The following is a 19,863-nucleotide window of genomic DNA, read 5'->3' as shown; positions in this document are numbered from 1 at the left end:
TGTGGCACAAAAACCCAGGGGATGGCTGGGCACGGTGGCTCACGCCTATAATCCCAGCACTTCTGGAAGCCGAGATGGGAGGATCGCTTGAGGCTGGGAGTTTGACACTGGCCTGGGCAACATAGTGAGGCCCTATCTCTATAAAAACATTTAATTATTAAAAATAAGATAAGAAAAAGAAACTCCGGCAGCCCAGCACCACATCCAAGCCTGGTGTTCCCAGCCTGGTCCTTAGCAGGCCTGGGGGGCACCAGGTACGTTCTGGGAGGCAGGCATCCCTTCTCGGGGGCTGGCAAACTCAAGACCTTTGGGAGTGGGGGACACATGGGTGGGGCAGCTGCTCCCCCCAAGCCTGCCCCTCACCCACCTGCCAGCCACCTCAGGAAGTCGGCCCAACCTGGCACCACCCCCCTGGCACCTATTAGTCTTTTCGCTTTGCAGGGGACGTTCTGTCCTGTGTCTGCAGCACTGCTGACCGGCATGGGACGACCAGCGGTCCATGAATGAGGTCACCACGGTGGCCTCGCATGGCCTTGGGCCTTGCCTGATTACTGCCCCAGGCACATAGGGCTCCCACAGCCCAGCCCAGCCCAGCCCAGCCCAGCCCTCTGGCTGATGCCCTCTCGCCTCCCAGCAGCCCTCTCCTACTTGGGTCTGAGGACAGAAGCCCTCCCTGCACCGAGGGCTCCAGGGGGAGGTGGGGGTGGAGGCCCTGGAGCAGCCAGTGGGGCAACAGGCGACCACCTCCTGTCCTTCATCCAGCAGCCCTGCAGCGCCACTCAGGATGCGGGTGGGAAGGGCTCAGGGTGAACCTCAGGCCTGTGCTGTCCCTGAGGCCAAGAAGAACTGGCTTGTAGGCGCCATTTTCTGGCGGCTGCCACCTCCGCCATGCTGGCCTGGCCTCGATCCCACCCCTCCGCAGCTCCTGATGCGGTCCGTGCCTGTGGGGAGCAAGACCCCCCCACAACCCTGGAACTCACCCTGGGCCTCATAGCCGGCCAGGTCAGGCTTCTCTGAGGCTGCCGGGCTGGTCAGGCGGCCGAGCACCAGCTGCAGCTGCGCCACGTTCATGCGGGCCGTGAGCTCCCCATGGCGGTCCCCGATCTGCGGCGAGTGGGGTGGCGGAGCGGGCAGGTGTGGCTGGGGGCCCTGCTGTGGGCTCCAAGGGGACCTTAATGGCCCCCAGTACACCCGTCCCTGACCTTCTGAGTGACCTGAACTGGTCACTGACCCCTGGGCCTCTGAGGGAACCAGGACTCACTGTGGACCCGGAGGTGGAGTCTGGGGGTCTGTCCCTGGGTGAGGTGGCCCCACAGGTCCTCAACAGCCCCTAGTTCACCCCAGAGATGCTTGGGGTCCCAGGCGGTTGGGCCTGTGCCCTCCGGTGCGCGAGGGGCCCGGCCCCGCCCGGCTGCACCTCTCTCAGCCCCTGCCTTGTGCGCCGAGGCTCTGTGGGGGACCCTCCCGGGAACATCCACATCACTCAGGAACTAACTGTTTGCTTAAGTCAAGCAGAAGAGAGGTGGCATGGGGTTGGGGGGAGGGCCACATGGAGCCCTGGAAGGCCCTGGAGGCTGTAGCCTGCACTCAGAGGGACACGGGGGCTGCCTGCTGGCTGCCAGTGAAGCTCTTCAGACGAGGGCTCTGCTGACCTTCCCATGCCCGCCCCTCTCCACCCTCACCTGGGCACCTGCAGGCCTCCCCACCCGGCCACCTCCTACATGGGTCTATGGTGGTCAGTAGGGGCTGGCACCGTCTTTAGCATGAACAGGCTCGGGGTGTGCAGAGGGAGGTGGCGTGGGAGTGGGTGATGTAAGGACAGGCCGGGAGCCGGGAGGCCCACAGTTCATCTGTGATGTTCCGCCCTGACCACAGTAGGAGGGCGCTGATGGGCGGAGCCCACAGAGACCCTGTGCAAACTCTCCAAGGAGGAGGAGACGCAGCTGCCCAGGAAGGCACCAGCTGGGGGCTGCAGGAAAAACCCCCGGGCATGGTAGACATGTCATCACCAGGCCTCGGAAGGACCAGGCAGCTGCAATGGCCCTGAAAGGATGAGGGGGGCCCAGGCACGCACACGCTCGCTCGGGGCAGAGGGGACCCGGCCCGTCTGGAGTGGGCTGGGCAGTGCCCGGGACTTCTGGGGGCAGGCCTGGCTCACCTCCTGGGAGATCTGCAGGTGCTTCTTGGCGAAGGTCAGGGCCTGCGCTGGGCGCCCCATGGACACGTAGGCATTTCCCAGGCTCCAGCACGCCCGGCCCTCGCCCACTCTGCCAGAGAGGGAGACCAGATTCATACCCGCCCTCTCCAGGCCAGCCCCCAGCCCCAGCCCCTCCCCTGGTGGTCACGGCCCCAGCATGACCCTGGCTTCGAGGGTCATCAGGGGCCCCCAGGCCCAAGGGGCATTGGCCGGATGACAGGATAATGCCCCCAGCTGGACCTCCCACAAATTCTGCCACCTTCAAGCATAAGCCCCAATCAGCTCTGCCTTTTTTCTTCCCATTAAAAGGATTAGCGCAGAGTCCAAGCAACCTGGCCTGTGGCCGGCTCTGCCTTTGCGGGCAGTTTCTGGGCCCTTGGCCTCGCTCGCCCCCTGGCGGCCGGCAAGCCTCCTCCCTTGCACTCCCTCCACCCTTACGGGCACCCTCCAAGTCACTGGGTGAGGGGGTTGTTTTTATATTGGAGGGAAATGCGTCTAACAGGAATTTGATCATTTTCACGTGGACGATCCACTGGCATTTTGTACATTCATGCTGTGCAACCGGCACCTCTGTCTATTCCAGAACATTCTCCTCACCACGCCACAAAGGAAAACCTTGGGCCACTTTTAAGCCTCCAGGCAGGGCAGCCTTTCAAAAGACCTCTCCTCTCTGCTGCCTGTGAAAGGCCACAGGCCTGTGGCTCTGAGCCCCTTGTTCCGGCCACCACCCACCCCAGACCTGCACACAAGACAGTACTTAGGGGCCTGTGGTTTGCCAGCCTGTCTCTCTCCAGAGAGTGATATTTACATACATACATGGGTGGTGGGGGCAACAGGGTGGCGAATTGAGGGATGGGAGGGGGACCCCACCCGCTTGTGCCAGGGGTCAGTGGCCGGCCCAATGTCCACACTGTCTGGCTCAGTCCCCACAGTGGCGTTGCCACTCCTGGGTCACAGCATGGTCAGTGGCAGAGCAGGGGATGGGACCCAGGCCACCTCGCCTGGGCCGCGGTAATTCAGCCTGTGGGCCGGGCCGGGTCTGCCCGCCGCGTCCGCGCCCACGCACCTGTCGGCCAGCTCCTGGGCAATGAGCAGGTGCCGCAGGTGGTACTCGGCCGCGCGCTCGTAGTCCTGCAGCAGCGTGTAGGTGTTGCCCAGACTGTAGCAGGCCTGCGCCTCCACTGCCTGGTCCCTGAGCTGCCGAGACAGTTGCAGCGTCTTCCTGTGCAGAGTGGCAGGGTCAGCCCCCAGGAGGAGGGCTCCAGGGTGAGGGGTGGAAGGTAAGAATGGGGACGCAGTCTGCCCGATGGTCCCCTGCCCCGGAATCCCACTGGGGCCTCTCTGGGGTCCAGCTTCATCCCCACCCTCACATGGCCACAGAGCGGGACTGTTGGCCCCAGGGGGACGGGGGGTCCTGCCAGGCTCTGGCAAGTTGCCTGACCACCCTGAGCCGCCACCACTCCTCCCCGGAGGACCTGAGACTGCTGTGCCCACTGCTCAGGCTGAGATGGGGTTAAGTTTAGGGCTGGGCACAGGACCCCGTGCTGACAGCCGGGCTCCACCCGGCAGGCGCTGCTCTGTGGCTCAGGCCAGGAGGCAGATGGCCCAGACCTCCCATAGGCCGGCTCCCCCACCGCCTGCCTCCCCATGAGCTTTGTCCGTCTGCCCTTCCCGGGGCAGCCTAGAACCCCACCTTGCCTTCTGGGGAGGGGAGGGGAGGCAGTCAGATTCCCAGCTTGGGGCGGGCACTTCCTTGGCCTGGCATCCAGCCCCCCCGGCCTGCTGTCTCCCTGGGAGATTGTGGGGACCACCTACTTGTAGTACTCGGCGGCCACGTCAAAGCGCCCCAGGAAGACGTGGGCGTTCCCCAGGTTGCTGTAGGCCCTCCTCTCGGCTGCCTTGTCTCCAAACTCCTTAGCAATGGCCAGGCGCTGCGGAGACACACCGGAGGCCAGGTGGTCATGGCGCAGCCCCGGGGCCTGACGTGGGCGGACAGGGGCTGCCTCCCTGCCCAGGTGGCCGGCCAGAGATCTGTGTGTCCGGGTGAGCAGCTAGCAGCTGCAGGACCAAGTGCAGATGAGGCCAGGACTCGGTGGGGCGGGCCTGCTGCCTGGCCATACCACCCTGCCCTTTCAGGGACCGCCAAGAGGGTGGCTCAGCCCTGCCCCTGCAGCAGCCCGGCCCCTCCACCCTGTCACCCTGCCCGGCTCACCTCCTTGTGGAAGGTCGTGGCCTCTGTGAAGTTCCCCAACAAATAGTGGGTGTTGCCCAGGTTGCCGTAGGCCCTGCCCTGCGCCGCACGGTCGCCCAGCTCCTTCACCAGGGACAGGTTCCTCCTGGGGGCCGAGTGCCTCTGAGCCGTGTCCCTCCCAGCCCATGTCCTCACCCACCCCAGGCTAGAAGAGCTGAGTAGCGGCCTCCATGCGGCCTCAGGGCCATGCCCTGGAAAGAGGGTGGCTAGGGTAGGCTCCAGGGTCCTCGAGCTCTGAGACCTGGGGCTTGGTCATGTCCCCCAAGTCCCTGACAGGGGCAAGCTCAGGGGAGGGAGCCAGCAGCTGAGAAAGCGGGGGTGGGCGGACCTGGCCGTCACTGCCCTGGGAGCTGTCGGGAGGTATGGGGCTGGGGTCGGGGGTCTGGAAGTGTCTGTGGAGCTCAGAAACGCACAGGCCAGCCCCGGTCCCTGGGCTGGCCCTGCCCCACTCACTCGTAGAACTCGGAGGCCTTGCACAGGGTCTCTCGGACATCGGGCGGCAGGTGCCCGGGGTCCTGCGTGGCGTTTGCGGCGTTCCAGGACAGTTGCTTGCCTTTGGCGTGGTACACGTTCCCGATGTTGTAGAGGGCCCTCGCCTCCCCAACCTGTGGGCAGTACGGAGGGTTGGGGGCATGCCTCCACGGCCCCCCACACGATGTGCAGAGCCGGCACACCGGTGTCCTCACTGTCCCAGCCCTCGACAGCGAGGGCCTTGGGGGCTCCCACTGAGTCACAGACACTAAGGCAGGGGCGGAAGCCTGAGGACGGCACACCCGGGAAGCCAGCCTCCGCCCTCCCTCACCATCCCTCCCTCCTCTGCGGATTGGCGTGGCCAGGGTGCCAGGTCCTCAGCTCTGTCCTCTGATGACCGAGGCTGAAAGCTCCAGCTGGGACCAGATGCTGCGGCCTCAAGCCCCCTTGGTCACCTCCAGCTGTGTGACGGGGGGTAAGTCACGTCCCCCCAGCCTTGGTTTTCTCGCCTCACAGGGCCATGGAGGGAGGTCAGCAAAGCCTGTCTCGGGTCCAGCACAAGCGGAGACGGAGCCACTCTTCCTGCTGTCACCACCGCCATTGAAATCGGCCTCCCACTGCCGCAGCCCAGAGCCACCCCCTGCCTCCCGCTGGGCCCCCCAGGGAGTGAGTGACTGGGGGTGTGGAGGGATTCGGGGGGAGGTCACCGAGAGGGGCGGCAGAACTGAGGGTGGAAGGTGGGGGCCTGGGCTGCAGTGTCAGCATGGGCTGGGGGGGCCTGTTTTGGGGGCCCACACTCTCCTGAGTCACTCGGGATCTAGGGGACCGACCTCCCTGTCATCCCTCCCATGAGGAGCTGGATGAGTGGTGAGTCACCCGCCCGCCCCTATCCCGGATCTGGACGCAGGCCGGTGCAGGGGTGGGAGACACCCAGCCCCGGACCAAGCCCCCACCTTGTCTCCCTGCTCTTGGGCGATGCTCAGATGCCGCTGGCAGCAGACGGCAGCCTCGTCGAAGCGCCCCAGGACCTTGAGTGTGTTTCCCAGGTTTCCACTGGCCTTGGCCTCCCCCATGCGGTCACCGATGGTCCTGGATGGCAGGGAGGAGTGAGGGGTCAGGCTGAGGACTGGTCAGGCCTCTGGGCCCGGGGGGAGGCTGAGCATGGGGTGGGGTAGCTGGGCCTCAGGGACCAGCATGGAGTGGACAGGAGCCTGCAACCCCTGAGGTGATACTGGGCAGGGGCCCACAGGCCGGGCAAGTGAGGCCCGAGGGCAGCCCTGGGTATGGGCTCTGCTGGGCTGTGTCTGGGGCACAGGCTCCTGCCCATCACCACACAGGCTGCACACAGGTGCCAGGAGCTACACACAGGACCTCACGCCTGGGCCTGGGGCAGGGGGCTGGGGTCTGCAGCTCTTAGGATCCGGGGAGGACTTGGGGGGCCTGATGGTGGAGAACTAACTTCCTGCTAACTCATTCAGAGGACGTTTGGTGCATGCCCACCAGACACTGAGCTGGGTGCTGAGGAGCAGGTGTGAGCTCACTGGCCAGTGCGGGAGGGTTGCTCCAAGAAGCTCTGCCCTGCTGAGAGGTCAGGGCAGCTGCAGGGCTGAGGGGGAGGGCGCTGGGCAGGGCTGAGGCAAGGGAAGCGTGCTCCCGTGAGGCACGGCCTGGGGGCTGGACCCGACTGGAGACCCCAAGACCCCAAGGGGCGGCGGGGAGTAGGTTGGGGAGACTGGGGAGTGGATGACGCCAGGCAGGAAGGAGGCTGTGAGTGGGAGCTTGGGGTCCATGGGAAAGCAGGGACAGCCCCCAGGGCAGGACCACACCTCACTGAGCAGTGGCTGGGAGTGGGCCCGGGGCTCAGGGCCTGGGGCCTGGGGCCAGGGAAAGGGTGGGGCTCTGAGCCACACAGGATCACAGATGGGCCACACACAGTCACGAGTGCTCACGCACAGCACGCGGGTCACAGCCCAGGCTCTCACACGCAGACACACAGACCCACTCACGCCTGTCAGCTGAAACCCAGCTCCCTGCCGGGGTCCCAGAGCCCTGGCTGCCCTCCAGGTGAGGGCTTCCCCACTGCGTTCCCTTAGACCCTGCTTGCCCTGTCCCCCTCCTCAAACTGTAACTGCTGAGGACAGGAAGCGTCCACCTGCCAGCAGGGCCACCCCCACTCACCCGCCAGCAGGGCCGCCCCACTCACTGCTCCAGCAGGGCCGTCCCCACTCACCCGCCAGCAGGGCCATCCCCACTCACCCACCAGCAGGGCTGTCCCCACTCACCGCGCCAGCAGGGCCGCCCCACTCACCCACCAGCAGGGCCGTCCCCACTCACCGCGCCAGCAGGGCCGCCCCACTCACCCGCCAGCAGGACCGTCCCCACTCACCGCGCCAGCAGGAGGTCATGCTTGTGGTATTCCAGCGCCCGGCCGTGCTCCTTCAGGTAGAAGTAGGCGTTGCCCAGCTGGCTGTAGATGGCACTCAGTGTCTTCAGGTCCTCGGTGCCCACCTGCACAGCAGCCTCAAAGAAGGCCACGCCTGTCTTGAAGTCGCCCGCCTTGCACAGACGCTCGCCCTCCAGCGCCAGCTCTAGGCAGGACGCCTCCATCCTGTGCAGAGGAACTTGGCGTCATGGCCCAGCCCTGGCAAAGTCGCCCCGGGGCCGGAGCACCTCCGTGGCTTCACTACAGACGACGCCCCTGGGTGGGCTAGGGCACACACCACATCTGTGCTCACAGACCTAAGTGTCTCTTTGGGATACAGGCCTGGAAGCACGTGTGCGGCCCAAGGGCGCCCCAGCCAGCACACCTCTGCCAGCACCTCCTGTCCACCCCTTGTGCGGCCAAGGTCAGGAACGCCACTGGGGCAAAGGTGTGAGTTTGTGACCCCGGCAAGACCCTCAGGCCCAGGGGCCGGTGTTGCAGGGGGTGTGGCCCCCATACCCTGCCTTCACCCAAATCCCAGAGGTACGGGCTGCAGGGGCCAGGCACCCTAGCCATCCTCCTGAGCGACCACAGCTGCTGGGAGAGGCCCCCCTAATTCCCACCAAGAACAACTGAGGCTCCCAGACGGTAGTGGGGGCTTGTGAAGGCCACATGGGGGTCGGGTGGGGTGGGGATCTGATCTCGGCTCCTCCCCCACCCCCAAGCTCTCCCAGCCAGGGCCTGGGGATTCAGTCAGCCTCCAAGTCTCCAGGGGAGACCAGTGCTGCGGAGGTGTGGCTGCGGGTTAGCCAGTCCCAGCCCCTCTCCTCCTGGTCCCCCACCCACAGAGCTAAGCGCTCGCCGCTGCCAGCCAGGACAGGCCTGAGAACCCGCTGTTCCCAGGTGCTGCCCGCCACCCCCAGCGCTGCTGTGGGAAGATGTGGATGGCGCCCCATCCCAAGGTGAACTCCGCCGTGTGAGCGCCACCTAACCCCAAGGGCCAGGCCCTCTTCTGAACACCAACGCCCTGCTTGGCCGTGGTCCCCCACCTTCGGGCAGGGACTTTAGAGAAGAAACCCCTCACCCTGGGCCCTGCACAACCCCCAAGCACCCTGTGCGTCAGCTGCCACCCTAGCCCTGCTCACCGAGGGACCCCCACCCTGGGCCTTGGGGAGCTGCCCTTGGCACTCAGCTGCCGGGGAGGAGTGTGGGGTCACTCCGTGGCTGCCCGGCTCCGCACCTCCCTGCTGCCTGCTCTGGGGCCTGGTGTCCTCCTCCATCCTACTCTTACAGGTCACATGGGCCTCAGGCTGCTGCGCTGCCCTGGGTGGAGGGTCGCGGGGGGAGGACACACCCAGCAGATGCCATGGGGTGGCCAGTGTGAGCAGGCGGGCCCCCATCTGCAGGGTGCCCCCGGAGAGCCACAAAAGACTCAGCAAGGGCGCAGCTTGGGGGGCCCCAGGAGGTGGCAGGCACAGCTGGAGCCCAGGAGGGACCTGATTTCAGAGAAGTGGGGGAAGGGTTCAGCCTCGGCTGCTTGCAGGCCGGCCCCATCATTCCTGTTTGCTTTCTGTTGCTTTCATTTTTCATTTTTAAAACTTATGTTACCATTATTATTTTTATAGAGACACGGTCTTGCTCTGTTGCCCAGGCTGGAGTGCAGTGGTGCGATCTCGGCTCACTACAGCCTCCATCTCCCAGGATCAAGCCATCCTCCTACCTCAGCCTCCCAAGTATCTGGGACTTCAGGTTTGCACCATCATGCCCAGCTTTTTTTTTTTTTTTTTTTTTTTGGTAGAGATGGGGGTCTCACTATGTTGCCCAGGCTGGTCTCAAACTCCTGAGCTCAAGTGATCCTCTCACCTCAGGGCCAGGCCCTCCCACCCACTACCTGCCAGGCACCTCACAGCCACCTCACCCATCCCTCTGGGAATGGCCATCCGGATGCCACGTGGGTCACAGGAGCCCACCGTCGCCATGACAACCAGCCAAGCCCCATCCTGCAGCCAGCGCCACGCACGGGGCTTCCTGATTAAGGCCCACTTGCCCCACCCAGCCACTTTTCAAGTGGTCTCACTCGGTTTACTGCCCCCTCCTTCCAGGCAACATCGGAGGAGAGGGGCTTCAGGCCTGAGGCCTGGGTGTCTGTGGAGCCCAGACGCTGCTGCTCCGCAGATCTGATGATGGGAGCCACCTCCCGCCTCCCTTCCAGCCGGAGACGTGGCATCCGAGGCTCAAGGCGAAGGAGGCTTCTGGCCTGGGAAGGGCCTGGGCCTAAAAGTCGGGGATGGGTGCACGGATGGGCCTCTGTCATTCTGCACCTCCAATCTGGGATCCAGGCAATGCAGCCAGCCACCTGCAGCTGCACCAGGTGGGTGTCCCCTCCACTCATCCCAAGACAGCCTCCAACCACGCCCTGGCACCCACACCCACGTGACCACCCCACTCGCTGCCCGCCGCACCTCTTCCTCTGCAGGTTTCGCATCTTCTGCACGTAGAGCCACAGCTCCAGGCCCACGGGCAGCAGCAGCGGGCGGGGGCGGGGGGCGCCATACACCACCTTGCACACGGCCTTCTCCGCCAAGCTCAGGGCCAGAGGCGGGCCCTCCCCAGCAGGGGATGGCATCGCCAGGCCCCAGGCCCTCCTCCCCCAAGCCAGCCCTCGCCCCACCATGGCCACGGGTCCTGGGGGGTGGGCTGGCCTTAGGCTTCCCTGCCCTCTGACCTCCAGGATGGTGGGTTTAAAGCTCGGCGGGGGACTGCCAGTCCTCCAGCAGGTGCTCGGGGGCCTCCCCAATCCCTGACGTGGATCAAGGGATCAAGGACAGCTCAGAGGCTGGGTCAGCCTCGTCAGCAGCGGGGCGGGGAGCCCTGGGGTAATCCCGTCCAACGTGCTCCTCCAGGGACTGGGACCAGCGGCATTGCCCTCCCGTCAGTCACCCGCCAACTCCTCTGCAAACGTTTATCCAGTTCCCAGCGGGGGCTGCTCTGCCCCAGGACCGGGCTCACTCGGGAGCGCCAGGCACGTTTGTGAATGGAAAGAGGAATGGCGTCCAGAGTGTGTGAGTGCCCCCAGCCCAGCACCTCTTCCCCCAGGCCTGGCCCAGGGCTGGGCAAAGCTGGAATTCTGCGCAGTGGTGGCCCCTGGCCGCCTACCGGTTCTCCAGGCCCCTGTGCCTCCTCTGCTCCACCCGACCCCACCTGGCCCCCTCCCCAGCCTCCCTGGCACCAGCCCACGGTGCCAGCATGGGGCAGCGGGGGGGGGGGGCTCAGAGTCCTCACCATGCCAGCCCCACGTCTGCCGGGCCCTCTGTGCTCTCCCTCACCTGACTGGCCAAGGTGCGAACAGGGCCCCAGGTCTGACGGGGTCAGGGCCACGTGGGGCCTGGGGGATGCCGCTCCCCAGGTCGTGGGGCTTGGGAGGCATGGACCACGTTCCCCTAGCCTGGCTCCTTTCCTCAAACTTCCCAAGCCCCCGGCGTCCTTCTCAGCTGGGCTCCCAGCTTCTCCAGCCACCTGTGGCCCATGAGGAGGCTGGAACCTGACAGAGGCGGGGGACTGGGGGGGCAGGTCTTATCCCTGAGACGGCCACGGGGTCTGAGCAGAGGCAGGAATCCAAGGACAGGTGGGGGTCTTCAGGCCCTGGGCTCTCTCCTCCTTACCTTGAGGCCTTGTGGGCTCAGGGGTCCTACTCAGGCCAGACCATTTGTCCACCTTCAGGACAGCTTGGCCAAAGGCGGGGCAGGACCTAGAATGCCTCTCCCTTGCCCAGTCCTCGTCAACAGACTGAACCCTCAGACCCTCCGTGGTGGCTGGGGTGCCATCACCAAGGCCAGTTCCCAAGCCAGCACTGCAACTCCTACTACCTCCGGCCACCCGAAAGCCGTGTCCCTCAGTCCCAGCCCTGCTAACAGAATTGGCACCTGCCCCTCCCCAAGGCCGTCACCTACATGCTGGCCCCTGAGCAGATGCTGAAGAGACTCTGCTCACAGCTGGCTCTATCTGCCCCATCCCCCAGCCAGACACCCCCAGGGAAAACCACACCGACTCCCCTTCAGTGGCCAGGGGAGGGGAGAGAGTGAGGCGCAGGACCGGGCTGGGAGCACAGCGGGAGCTGGAATCACTGGAGAGGGGACTGAAGGTCACCCAGCTGTAGGAAGCACCTGGGGTCAGGCTTGCCAGGAATTCCTAGGGCCCGTCGCTGCCCAGCGACCCACCAGGGATGGTGCCCAGGACGGGGACAGGGGAGGGAGGAAGGATGGAGTGAAGGTAGGGGGTAGCATGGCCATGTGGCCAGAGAGGTTGCGGGGGGCCCAGTCCACACCTGAGGACGTCCTGTCTGGGAGCTGGTGACTGCTGCTTGGAGGGCATCTCTAACAGGGTCACCCCAAGGTGGGTGGCTCTGCTGCCCCTTCCCGGCCCCAGCCCCGGGGAGCACTCAGCTGGCCTTAAAGCAGGTGGGAGGCCAGGAGACGACCACCCAGGGTTTCCCCACTTTCCGGGGCCTTCTCAGCCACTGGCCTGTCCCCGCCAGGCCTCTTCACCCCAAAGCCCTGCTCTGGGCCAGGGAGCCCCTGGCAAGTGGGCCAGAATTCTGAGCATTAACTGTAGCACCCAGGGCCCTGTCCCCACCGACCCAGCACCCAGGGCCCATCCCCACTGACCCAGAACCCAAGGGCCCGTCCCCACCGACCCAGCACCCAGGGGCCCGTCCCCACCGACCCAGCACCCAGGGCCCCGTCCCCACCGACCCAGCACCCAGGGGCCCGTCCCCACCGACCCAGCACCCAGGGCCCCGTCCCCACCGACCCAGAACCCAGGGGCCCGTCCCCACCGACCCAGCACCCAGGGCCCCTCAGGGTACCCAGTGGGCTCATGGGCACATTCATGGGCCTCGCTGTCAGTGTGTTTTCCAGGCACAGTTCCCCATTTTAAAAGCTGAAACTCCTCTCTCCAGGAAGGAATGTCAGTGTGGGAAGGCAGTAGACGGGGCAGAGGAGACCTTGGGCCAACCTGGAGCCCCATCCACATTGAGGGACCCCAGTACAGCCACGTGAGGAGTGCCCACACGGATTCCGCCCACCTCCAGGGCATCCACATGCCCACCGCCCACGCCAGCAGGTGGGCCGCCCCCAGCACTCGGGTTTCAGGAGACAGGAGACTTTTCCGTGTCTTGCTCTCCAGCCCCAGCATGACAGCAAAGGGCCCTCCCGTCTGGCCCGCAGCTTCCACTGGCCCAGAACACGTCTAGGCATCCATGCTCTGAAGCCAGCTCCGACCAGGAACCGCCTGCCCAAACCGGGCTGTGGCTACACGGTGGGGTGCAGACTCCCGGGGGGACCTCGTCACAGGCCCTGCTGGAGGGCTTGGCGCGCTTCCCCCAAGTCTGGGCCTGACTCCACCCTGGAGCTCAACTGGACTCCCTGCTTAGGGGGATGCAAGGCTGGGTCTGGGGTCTCTCTGAGTGGTCCCCCTGAGCACTGCCCCTGCCAGGGGCTGGCTCCTGCCTGGCGTGTCCCCAGGGGACCCCAGGCTTCTAGCTGTAGCCTGGAGAATGCCCAACTCTATGGTCAGCTGTGCAGGCCTCACCCAAGGCTAAGGTCTTGGACACCCGTCTCTCACAGCTCCACACACACACTCTCTCACAGCTCCACACACTCACACTCAAACTCACTCCAGCCAGGGCTGCTATCCATCCCCCTCACAGCACGGCCGCCCTGGAGCACATGCGGCCCTGCACAGCCGATCAGATCAGCGGAGGAAACCCTTGAAAATCCTTTAGGGCAGGCCCCTGGCAGCAGCTGCCAGCAAAATCACCCTCACGCCCCTCCCCTGCGTGGGGCCCAGGAGCCAGGCTAGGGGCTCAGCGCTCCATCCAGGACGGCACAATGGGGCTGTGTCTGGGACCAAAGCAGAGAGCAGACCGGAGGCAGCAAGGCCTCTGTCCGCCGTGCCGCCACCAGTACCTCATTTCGGGTGCCCCAGGCAGAGGCTTGCTGCTTGGCTGGGGCCAGAGAATCCTTGGGGGCCAGGCTAGGCGCCCCCCGGGATCAGCTGCTGGGACCCCTATCAGGGAGGTCACCAGGTTTTAGGGATGTCCAGAGGACAATAGTGTCCCTCGCTCTGGGGAGCCAGGCCTGCCTCTGACGGCTGCCACCCATTCGCAAGCCCCTGCCTGGACCTCACGCTCGTGTGGCTCTGCCTGAGGCCTGGTACCACCCAGCCTTGCTTGGGGCTCCAGGCACCTGCCCGGCTGGGCCCAGGGCAGCCCCTGGGGGGACATTGGGAGTCACCAGGCAGGCATGCCACCTGGGGCAGGGCCACCCTGTCATCCCCAAAGGCGTGGGGCACAGAGCCCAGTCACTGGGATCACCCAGGAATGTGCCCGGAGAGTAGATGCCTTTTCAGGCAGGTACACACCCACCTGGCTGGCTCCCTTCCAACCCAGCTGGATCCCACTGGGCTCGTGGAGGGCTGGTGAGGGGCAGAGCCCCATCCAGAGCAGCCAGGTCTCTTTGGCCATGATGCCCCTGAGTGCCCCGGGCATGGCAGGGCCAGGCTTGGGAGGGAAGCACCCCACGGTGCCCCTGCCAGGTGCCAGGGGAGTGAGGCTGGAGAAGCTGCCCACCCCGCCTCCAGCCCCCCGGCCCCCCACCCCCTTCCCCTTGGCTTGGGGGAAAGAGGGCTTCAGGGGACGCCCACGCGGGCACACGCCGGGCTGGGCTCGGCCTGGAGGGAGGGGCGCGTCCTCAGCCACGCTGCGCGCCCGCGAGAGCTGCCTTTGTTCCCAACTGCAGCCTCCCCCGCGTCCCGACCCGGCCCGGTCCGGTCCCAGCCCCGGCCCCGGCCCCGGCCCCGGCCCGTCCTACCTGGAGTAGAGGCGCCTGGCGGCCGGGCCCGGGAGCTCGTCGGCCGCGGGCGGGGCCGGGCCCGCCATGGGTCGGGGACGCGGGAGCGGGAGCCGGGAGCGCCCCCCGCGCCGTGGCCGTCCGCCCCCTGCCCGCCCTGCTGTCCTCCCTGCTGTCCGCCCTGCTGTCCGCCTGTCCGTCCGCGCCTCGTTCGCCCGTCCTCCCCCGGGGAGGCGCCGAGGAAGTGATGTGCGCGGGGCGCCGCCGCCCCTCCCGCCGCCGTGGCCGTGATGTCACCGCCGCCCGCGCGGGGAGGGGGCGCGGACCGGGCGGCCACCGCCGCGTGCCTCCCTCTGCGGGGGGCGGGGCGGACGCGGGGGGAGGGGCGCCGTGAGGCGGGCAGTCCCCGGGGAGGGGGGAGGGGGGAGGGGGTGTGGGCCCCAGCCCACCCCACCCCAGGGAATGCAGGGGAGAGGGCCTGGGCCTGGCCTTGCTGCTGGTCCCCTGGGGACTTCTGAGGGCCCGCGGGGGTCCCTGGGTCACAGTGCAGCCACACTGGCCTCTGGGCTCCTTTCATCCACAGGCCGCCTGGTGAGCCCCGCAGCCTCACCCACGTGGGGAGGGGCTGCTGAGGCCTCCTTGCCTTTCTTGGTGGGCGCCCTACGCCTCGGGGGTCCTACCCTCCTCTTCTGTGCAGCCCCAACGTGGCTTTGCCCCCTTCTCCAAACTTCTGCCTTGGGCCATGGGGCGCAGGCCGTGGGGATGCTGTCTGCCTGCTTTAGAGAAACCTGGGGCACCGATGACAAATACAGGCTCTGCTTGGCCTGTGGGACGGTTGGTAAGCCCCCCACCTCTGAGACCCTGGGTGGCCACATTCCCCTCCCAAGCTCCCCCGGAATGGGGATGCAGCCTGCCCCTTCCTTCCTCCTGGGCACTGTGCAGGCTTAGGGAGGATGCAGGTGGCACAGTAGGCTGTGCCCACCCGGGGTCCCGGGACCCCAGCCCCTACCGCCTCCTCCTCCTCCTCTGAATTCTTGGAGCCCTGTGGGCCTATGTGGTGTGACGTGGCTTCCCCTCCACCCACCCTCAGCTCCCGATGGCTTGGGGGGTTCTCCGCAGCCAGCGAGGCCCACAGCCGGCCTCCCCGGGTTCTGTCCTGCCCCCGACAGCATCCTGGGCCTTCCGGTGGTGTCAGGAGACTCCAGGCCCTTGAAAGGCAGCTGCGACCCCGGGTATGACTCGGAGAAGTCCAGGAGCAGGAAATGGGCTGCATTCCTTCGGGGCCCCTCCGTGCACCCCAGCCCCTCCCTGGGAGAGCTGCCCTGAGGTCAGGAAAGTGCCGTCCTGGCAAGACCCTCAGCAGCTGCCGCCCACAGGACAGTCAGCGTTTTCAAGCATGGGAAGGAAAATAAACACGAGGTTAAAAAGGGGTCTGTTGGCCCCGGGCTGGTTTGTTTTTCCTGTGTAAGGGAGGCAACGGGAATGAGAACCATCTGTGCCCTGAGCGCAGCGCAAGCTGCCTGCTGGGCCCACGTGCCCTCCCCCAAAGACCACAGAAGCCAGGCAGAGCCTTGCTCCCTTCCAGCCGGGGCCGTGGCTGCTGGCCGGCAGGGACAGTGGTGTTGGCTGGGGCACCACCCTCCTTTGCCACAGCCCTGGGCCTGGCTGCGGGCAGAGAACAGGCCTTCGATTGAAGCTCCAACCTTCCGGGCCACCTCCTTTGGGCTTCGGGCACCTGAGCCAGCATCCCATTGTAAGGGCAGGGGCTGCTGGGGGCCCTGCCTGTGCCAGGCCTCAGCTCAGCCCTCTTTCCCCAGGCGCTGCTGCCATCAGGAGGCCCACAGAGGGTCCACACCAACACTGTGAGCCCCTTGTGGGTCCCCTGGGTTAGTGGTGGGAGGCTGGTGAAGAGAAGTGGGGACAAAAGACATTGCACAAATGGTGGAGGGAGGGAGAGATTTGCAGCCTCGTAGCTGTCATTGCTGGGGGAGCTTCTCCTGGTCTCCTTCCTTGATGCAGAGAGCTGGGAGCTTGTGTCCCTGGGCCGGGAGAGCCCCAACATTATATCAGAACTTGTGGGGAAACCTGCACCCCCGAGGGCTCTGGCTTTGTTAGGCCGAGCTGGGCTATGAGGCTGTGTGACCTGGCACAAGTTGCTTTCCCTCTCTGAGCCTCGGTTCTGTCACCTGAGGGCTGCCCGTCCCGCAAGGTGTGGAGGGTCACTGAGGCGTGGGGTTTCTGCGGTGCTTGTCCATGTGCCTGGCACACAGTGGGGTTTGTGCAGTGCTTGTCCATGTGCCTAGTGGCTCACAGTGGGGTTTGTGCGGTGCTTGTCCGTGTGCCTGGCACACGGTGGGGTTTGTGTGGTGCGTGTCCATGTGCCTGGCACACAGCGAGAGCTGCTGGGGTCATGTTGCTCTCACACTCGTGCCTGCCCCTGCTGGGCCCCTGCAGTGGGTCCTGGCTGGATTGGGGGTACATCCCCACCACACTGCACAGAGGGGCGTCTCCTCCTATCCAGGGACCTGATTCTCCTGTCGAGAAAACCTATGAAGGGGACCCAGAGATGGAGTGTGACAAGGCCAGGTGACAGGCCTGACATGTGGTGTCCACATCCAGAAGGGAGACCCTGGAGGGATGACCCTCCACTGCCACCCCCTCCCATCAGGCTCTGGACACCCTCGAGCCTCCCACCATCCACCTTACCAGATCCCCCCAAGAGTCCGGGAAGCTCACTCCCCCAGGGGACCAGGAGCACAGCCCCTTCCATTCCTAACGGGCCTGACTCCCAAAGGGGGGTGAGGAAAGAAAAAGCCATTTCACATCGACTTATTCTTCTGGCCCCAGGCAGCAGCACAGGGCGCAGGGTGGGCCTCTGCAGACACGATGGCTCCGTGGTCAGGGAGGGGCCACCTCCCATGTGCCTGGGGAGGGGCCCTCCCAAGCCCCTGCGTGGCAGCGCCAAGGGGTTGGAGTCAGCCCCAGCACACACAGGGCCCTGCTCACTGGTGGCCATTGTCAGCGCCACCTCCACCTTCAGGAGCCTGCCACGTGCCTGCCCTCGGTCACTTAGCCCTCCCTGGCACGCACCACTTTGTCCACACACCCTGTGTGTAAGTGGTGACAGCGGTGACAGCTCAGGCGTCACCTGATCGGGCCGACTCTAAGCCTTAGTCCTTCCTTGTCCTGTTGCGCCGGACAAGCCTCTGGGAGGCGACGGTGGGACAGCCACAGGGTTCTTGGCTCAGCCCCCAGGAGTGGGGAGCTGGGGCTCTGGACGGAGGTGGGCACTCGAGGCTGGTGTGGCCTCCTGGGTGAGGGCCAGGCTCGGGAGAGGCAGCCAGGCGGCCCCAAGCCACCCCAGGAACAAAGCACCAGCACACACCTCCACTGGTTTGCTAGGGCTGGGAGAAGTTGGAGTGTTTCTGTGGTGGCTGTGGCAGCCCACGGCCCCAAGACCCTGGCTTCCTTCTGCTCCCACCTTTTCAGGCCCCTTCCCCAACAAGCAGCTACTGTAGGACCCAGTGGGGGCTAGGGCACCAGCAGCTGCCATTACCCATGCTGGGTCCTGATGGTTCCTGACCAGCCTCAACCGTGGATTCCAAGCTGGGGAAGGAAGAAGCAGGCCGGGAGTGGGGAGGGAGACAGTGAAGGACACCCAAACACACACACACACACACACACACACACACACACACACACACACACAGAAGGAACAGTTTCAGCTTTGTTTCCCAGTAATCTCACTTAAAAAGAACACTTGGGTTTACCATGTTCACATAATCTCGTTGCTCTGAGAATGAACTTATTCTTCCTCCCAGCTTGGCCATGTGTTCCTCCCCATTGCCCAAGTCCCCTCATGACATCATCTCCCACTGCCATGTCCTTTCCTTGGGGACCTCCAAGTCCCTGGAGTTTGGGGACTGCAGGGTGGGTGGAGGGGCCCACAAGCTCTGCAGGGAGCCAGAAGGAAACGGTCTGTCCCACCCCAGGGCTGAGCACCTCGCTGGGAGATGATACCCACACCTGGAAATAGCTCAAGGGCCGCGTGAGGCCGCACGACACCCACGCCAGTATGAGACACCTGGCCATGCGGCATTCCTGGCCGACTGCTGGCAGCTGCAGACTTTGTCAGCCAGGTGATGTCCCCGGGATCTCTGGGCAGGCAGGGCACACAGGAGGCAGCTCACGCTCACTCATCATGGCGAGGCAGGTCGTGTGGAACTTCCTTGGTCTTCCTCATCTGCGCCCCACCCAGCCTGGCAGATGGTGATGCTGTGAGTGCCAGGGAAACACACACACGCACACACACACACATGCACACATGTACAGACAGGTGCACATGCCTGGGAGAGTCTGTGCTGCTCAGCTTCCGAGGGCAGCTCCCCAGGTCTCCCCCCGGGTCTGCGGTGGGAGGCGAGTCTTTTAACATCAGCTCAAACCAAACAGGATGAGGAGGGCAAATCGGCCGTCCCCAGTAAATCCTAGGGAGTCCCTCCAAGGCAAACAGAAAATGCACCCCAGCTTTCGCTTTTAGGGGTTTGAGTTGCGAGTTTCCAGTCTGCGGAGTGCGATGGCCGGGTGTAAGTCTGAAACCCTCTGGGGGAGAGAAGCCGCACAGTGCAGGGGTACACATCCCAGATCCACTCCCCAGCTGTGAGGCCCAGGCGCATTCCGCGTTCCCCGCCCATCTCCACCTCCGAGGGTTGCGGGAGGCTGAGCAGTTAGAACCGTGGCTGGCATACGGAGGGCACTCGGTAAACGTGGCTGTGCTGAGCTGTGGGCCTCGAAGGAGTCTCGCGGGGCTGCTGTACCAATGACCTTGCACTGGGTGGCCTAAAACAACATGTGTTTCCTCACAGCTCGGGGGACCAGAGCTCAGAATCTGGGGGTCACAGAGGAGGGTCCATGCTCATCCAGGTCAGCTCTAGGGGCTGCAGGCCACCCCTAATCTAGGATGGTCTTATGTTGAGGTCCTTAATTACATCCACAAAGACCCTTTCCCCAAATAAGTCCCCACGCACAGTTCCCAGGGACAGCCTCTGGGGCAGCATCACCACCCACTCAGTCCTCCATGCACCCCCTTGCGCTATCACGTAACTTGGATCAGGTCCACGCGTGTGGCTTTGCGGCTTTCCTTTGTCACAGCGTGTCACAACTGTTTTCCCGGGTGTCACTGCTGTGGTTTGAGTTTGTGTGTCCCCAGCCTTCATATGTTGGAACCTGAGACCCAAGAAGATCGTTATAAGACGTGGGGCCTTTGGAAGGTGATTAAGTCACCAGGGTCCCCATTGAAGCGCTTGGGAAGCCATCGAGGCCCCCTCCCCTTTGTCCTCTCACCTTCCGCCGGGAGAGGACACAGCAAGAGGCACCCACTGGGAGGCAGAGAGCAGCCCCCACTCCCACTGAGGCTGCTGGCACCGAGACCCTGGACTTCCAGCCTCCAGAAGCGTGAGAAATAAATGTCTATTGTGTGTCAATGACCCCGGCTCAGGTGTTTTGTTACGGCAGCAGGAATGGACTGAAATGCATCACTGAAAGGTCTTCACGGCCAGGCACAGAAGCTCACGCCTGTAATCCCAGCACTTTGGGAAGCACTCAGCGTTTGAGGCCAGTAGTTTGAGACCAGTGTGAGCAACACAAGGAGATCTTGTCTCTACAAAAAAAAAAAAAA

At 64.8% G+C, this 19,863-nt stretch overlaps 1 protein-coding gene and 1 long non-coding RNA gene across 3 annotated transcripts in view, besides 7 other annotated features; one reads left to right on the top strand and one right to left on the bottom strand.

The window, feature by feature from the left end:
* The window catches only part of GPSM1 (G protein signaling modulator 1), a 32,063-nt gene extending 17,628 nt beyond the window's left edge, over nt 1-14,435 (bottom strand). The window contains exons 1-9 of one of the 2 annotated variants that reach the window (NM_001145638.3): nt 14,211-14,435; nt 7,306-7,527; nt 5,873-6,008; nt 4,902-5,053; nt 4,410-4,533; nt 4,013-4,128; nt 3,264-3,419; nt 2,159-2,267; nt 981-1,104 (exon numbers count right to left, since the gene is read on the bottom strand). In NM_001145638.3, the coding sequence (NP_001139110.2) occupies nt 981-1,104; nt 2,159-2,267; nt 3,264-3,419; nt 4,013-4,128; nt 4,410-4,533; nt 4,902-5,053; nt 5,873-6,008; nt 7,306-7,527; nt 14,211-14,278 (1,207 nt within the window). In that variant the 5' untranslated portion in view covers nt 14,279-14,435. Of the gene's footprint in view, nt 1-135; nt 1,105-2,158; nt 2,268-3,263; nt 3,420-4,012; nt 4,129-4,409; nt 4,534-4,901; nt 5,054-5,872; nt 6,009-7,305; nt 7,528-14,210 lie in introns of those variants that run through there. The other variant, NM_015597.6, reaches the window with a different exon arrangement.
* Nucleotides 2,488-2,537: an enhancer, noted in NCBI's record as "active region_29305". NCBI's record gives its function as "activates an Ori minimal core promoter by ATAC-STARR-seq in GM12878 lymphoblastoid cells {active_cell/tissue: GM12878}" and the evidence as "EXISTENCE:reporter gene assay evidence [ECO:0000049][PMID:35858748]".
* Nucleotides 8,525-9,157: an enhancer, noted in NCBI's record as "H3K4me1 hESC enhancer chr9:139227274-139227906 (GRCh37/hg19 assembly coordinates)". NCBI's record gives its function as "activates a minimal SCP1, AML or CMV promoter by ChIP-STARR-seq in naive H9 embryonic stem cells {active_cell/tissue: H9 hESC(naive)}" and the evidence as "EXISTENCE:reporter gene assay evidence [ECO:0000049][PMID:30033119]".
* Nucleotides 13,215-13,743: an enhancer, noted in NCBI's record as "H3K27ac-H3K4me1 hESC enhancer chr9:139222687-139223215 (GRCh37/hg19 assembly coordinates)". NCBI's record gives its function as "activates a minimal SCP1, AML or CMV promoter by ChIP-STARR-seq in naive and primed H9 embryonic stem cells {active_cell/tissue: H9 hESC(naive and primed)}" and the evidence as "EXISTENCE:reporter gene assay evidence [ECO:0000049][PMID:30033119]".
* Nucleotides 13,744-14,273: an enhancer, noted in NCBI's record as "H3K27ac-H3K4me1 hESC enhancer chr9:139222157-139222686 (GRCh37/hg19 assembly coordinates)". NCBI's record gives its function as "activates a minimal SCP1, AML or CMV promoter by ChIP-STARR-seq in naive and primed H9 embryonic stem cells {active_cell/tissue: H9 hESC(naive and primed)}" and the evidence as "EXISTENCE:reporter gene assay evidence [ECO:0000049][PMID:30033119]".
* DKFZP434A062 (uncharacterized LOC26102) lies at nt 14,651-19,672 on the top strand. Its single transcript, NR_026964.3, has one exon. It is a non-coding gene; the product is annotated as an uncharacterized LOC26102 (long non-coding RNA).
* Nucleotides 15,307-15,601: a silencer, noted in NCBI's record as "tiled region #1004; K562 Repressive non-DNase unmatched - State 8:EnhW". NCBI's record gives its function as "represses a minimal TATA promoter and a strong SV40 promoter by Sharpr-MPRA in K562 cells {active_cell/tissue: K562}" and the evidence as "EXISTENCE:reporter gene assay evidence [ECO:0000049][PMID:27701403]".
* Nucleotides 16,803-17,431: an enhancer, noted in NCBI's record as "H3K27ac-H3K4me1 hESC enhancer chr9:139218999-139219627 (GRCh37/hg19 assembly coordinates)". NCBI's record gives its function as "activates a minimal SCP1, AML or CMV promoter by ChIP-STARR-seq in primed H9 embryonic stem cells {active_cell/tissue: H9 hESC(primed)}" and the evidence as "EXISTENCE:reporter gene assay evidence [ECO:0000049][PMID:30033119]".
* Nucleotides 17,432-18,058: an enhancer, noted in NCBI's record as "H3K27ac-H3K4me1 hESC enhancer chr9:139218370-139218998 (GRCh37/hg19 assembly coordinates)". NCBI's record gives its function as "activates a minimal SCP1, AML or CMV promoter by ChIP-STARR-seq in primed H9 embryonic stem cells {active_cell/tissue: H9 hESC(primed)}" and the evidence as "EXISTENCE:reporter gene assay evidence [ECO:0000049][PMID:30033119]".
* Nucleotides 19,673-19,863: the final 191 nt, after the last annotated feature.

Source organism: Homo sapiens, chromosome 9, assembly GCF_000001405.40.
Source record: "Homo sapiens chromosome 9, GRCh38.p14 Primary Assembly".
NCBI lineage: Eukaryota > Metazoa > Chordata > Mammalia > Primates > Hominidae > Homo > Homo sapiens.
The sequence above is the reverse complement of the archived record's forward strand: the minus strand, read 5'-3'. Positions and strand labels throughout refer to the sequence as shown.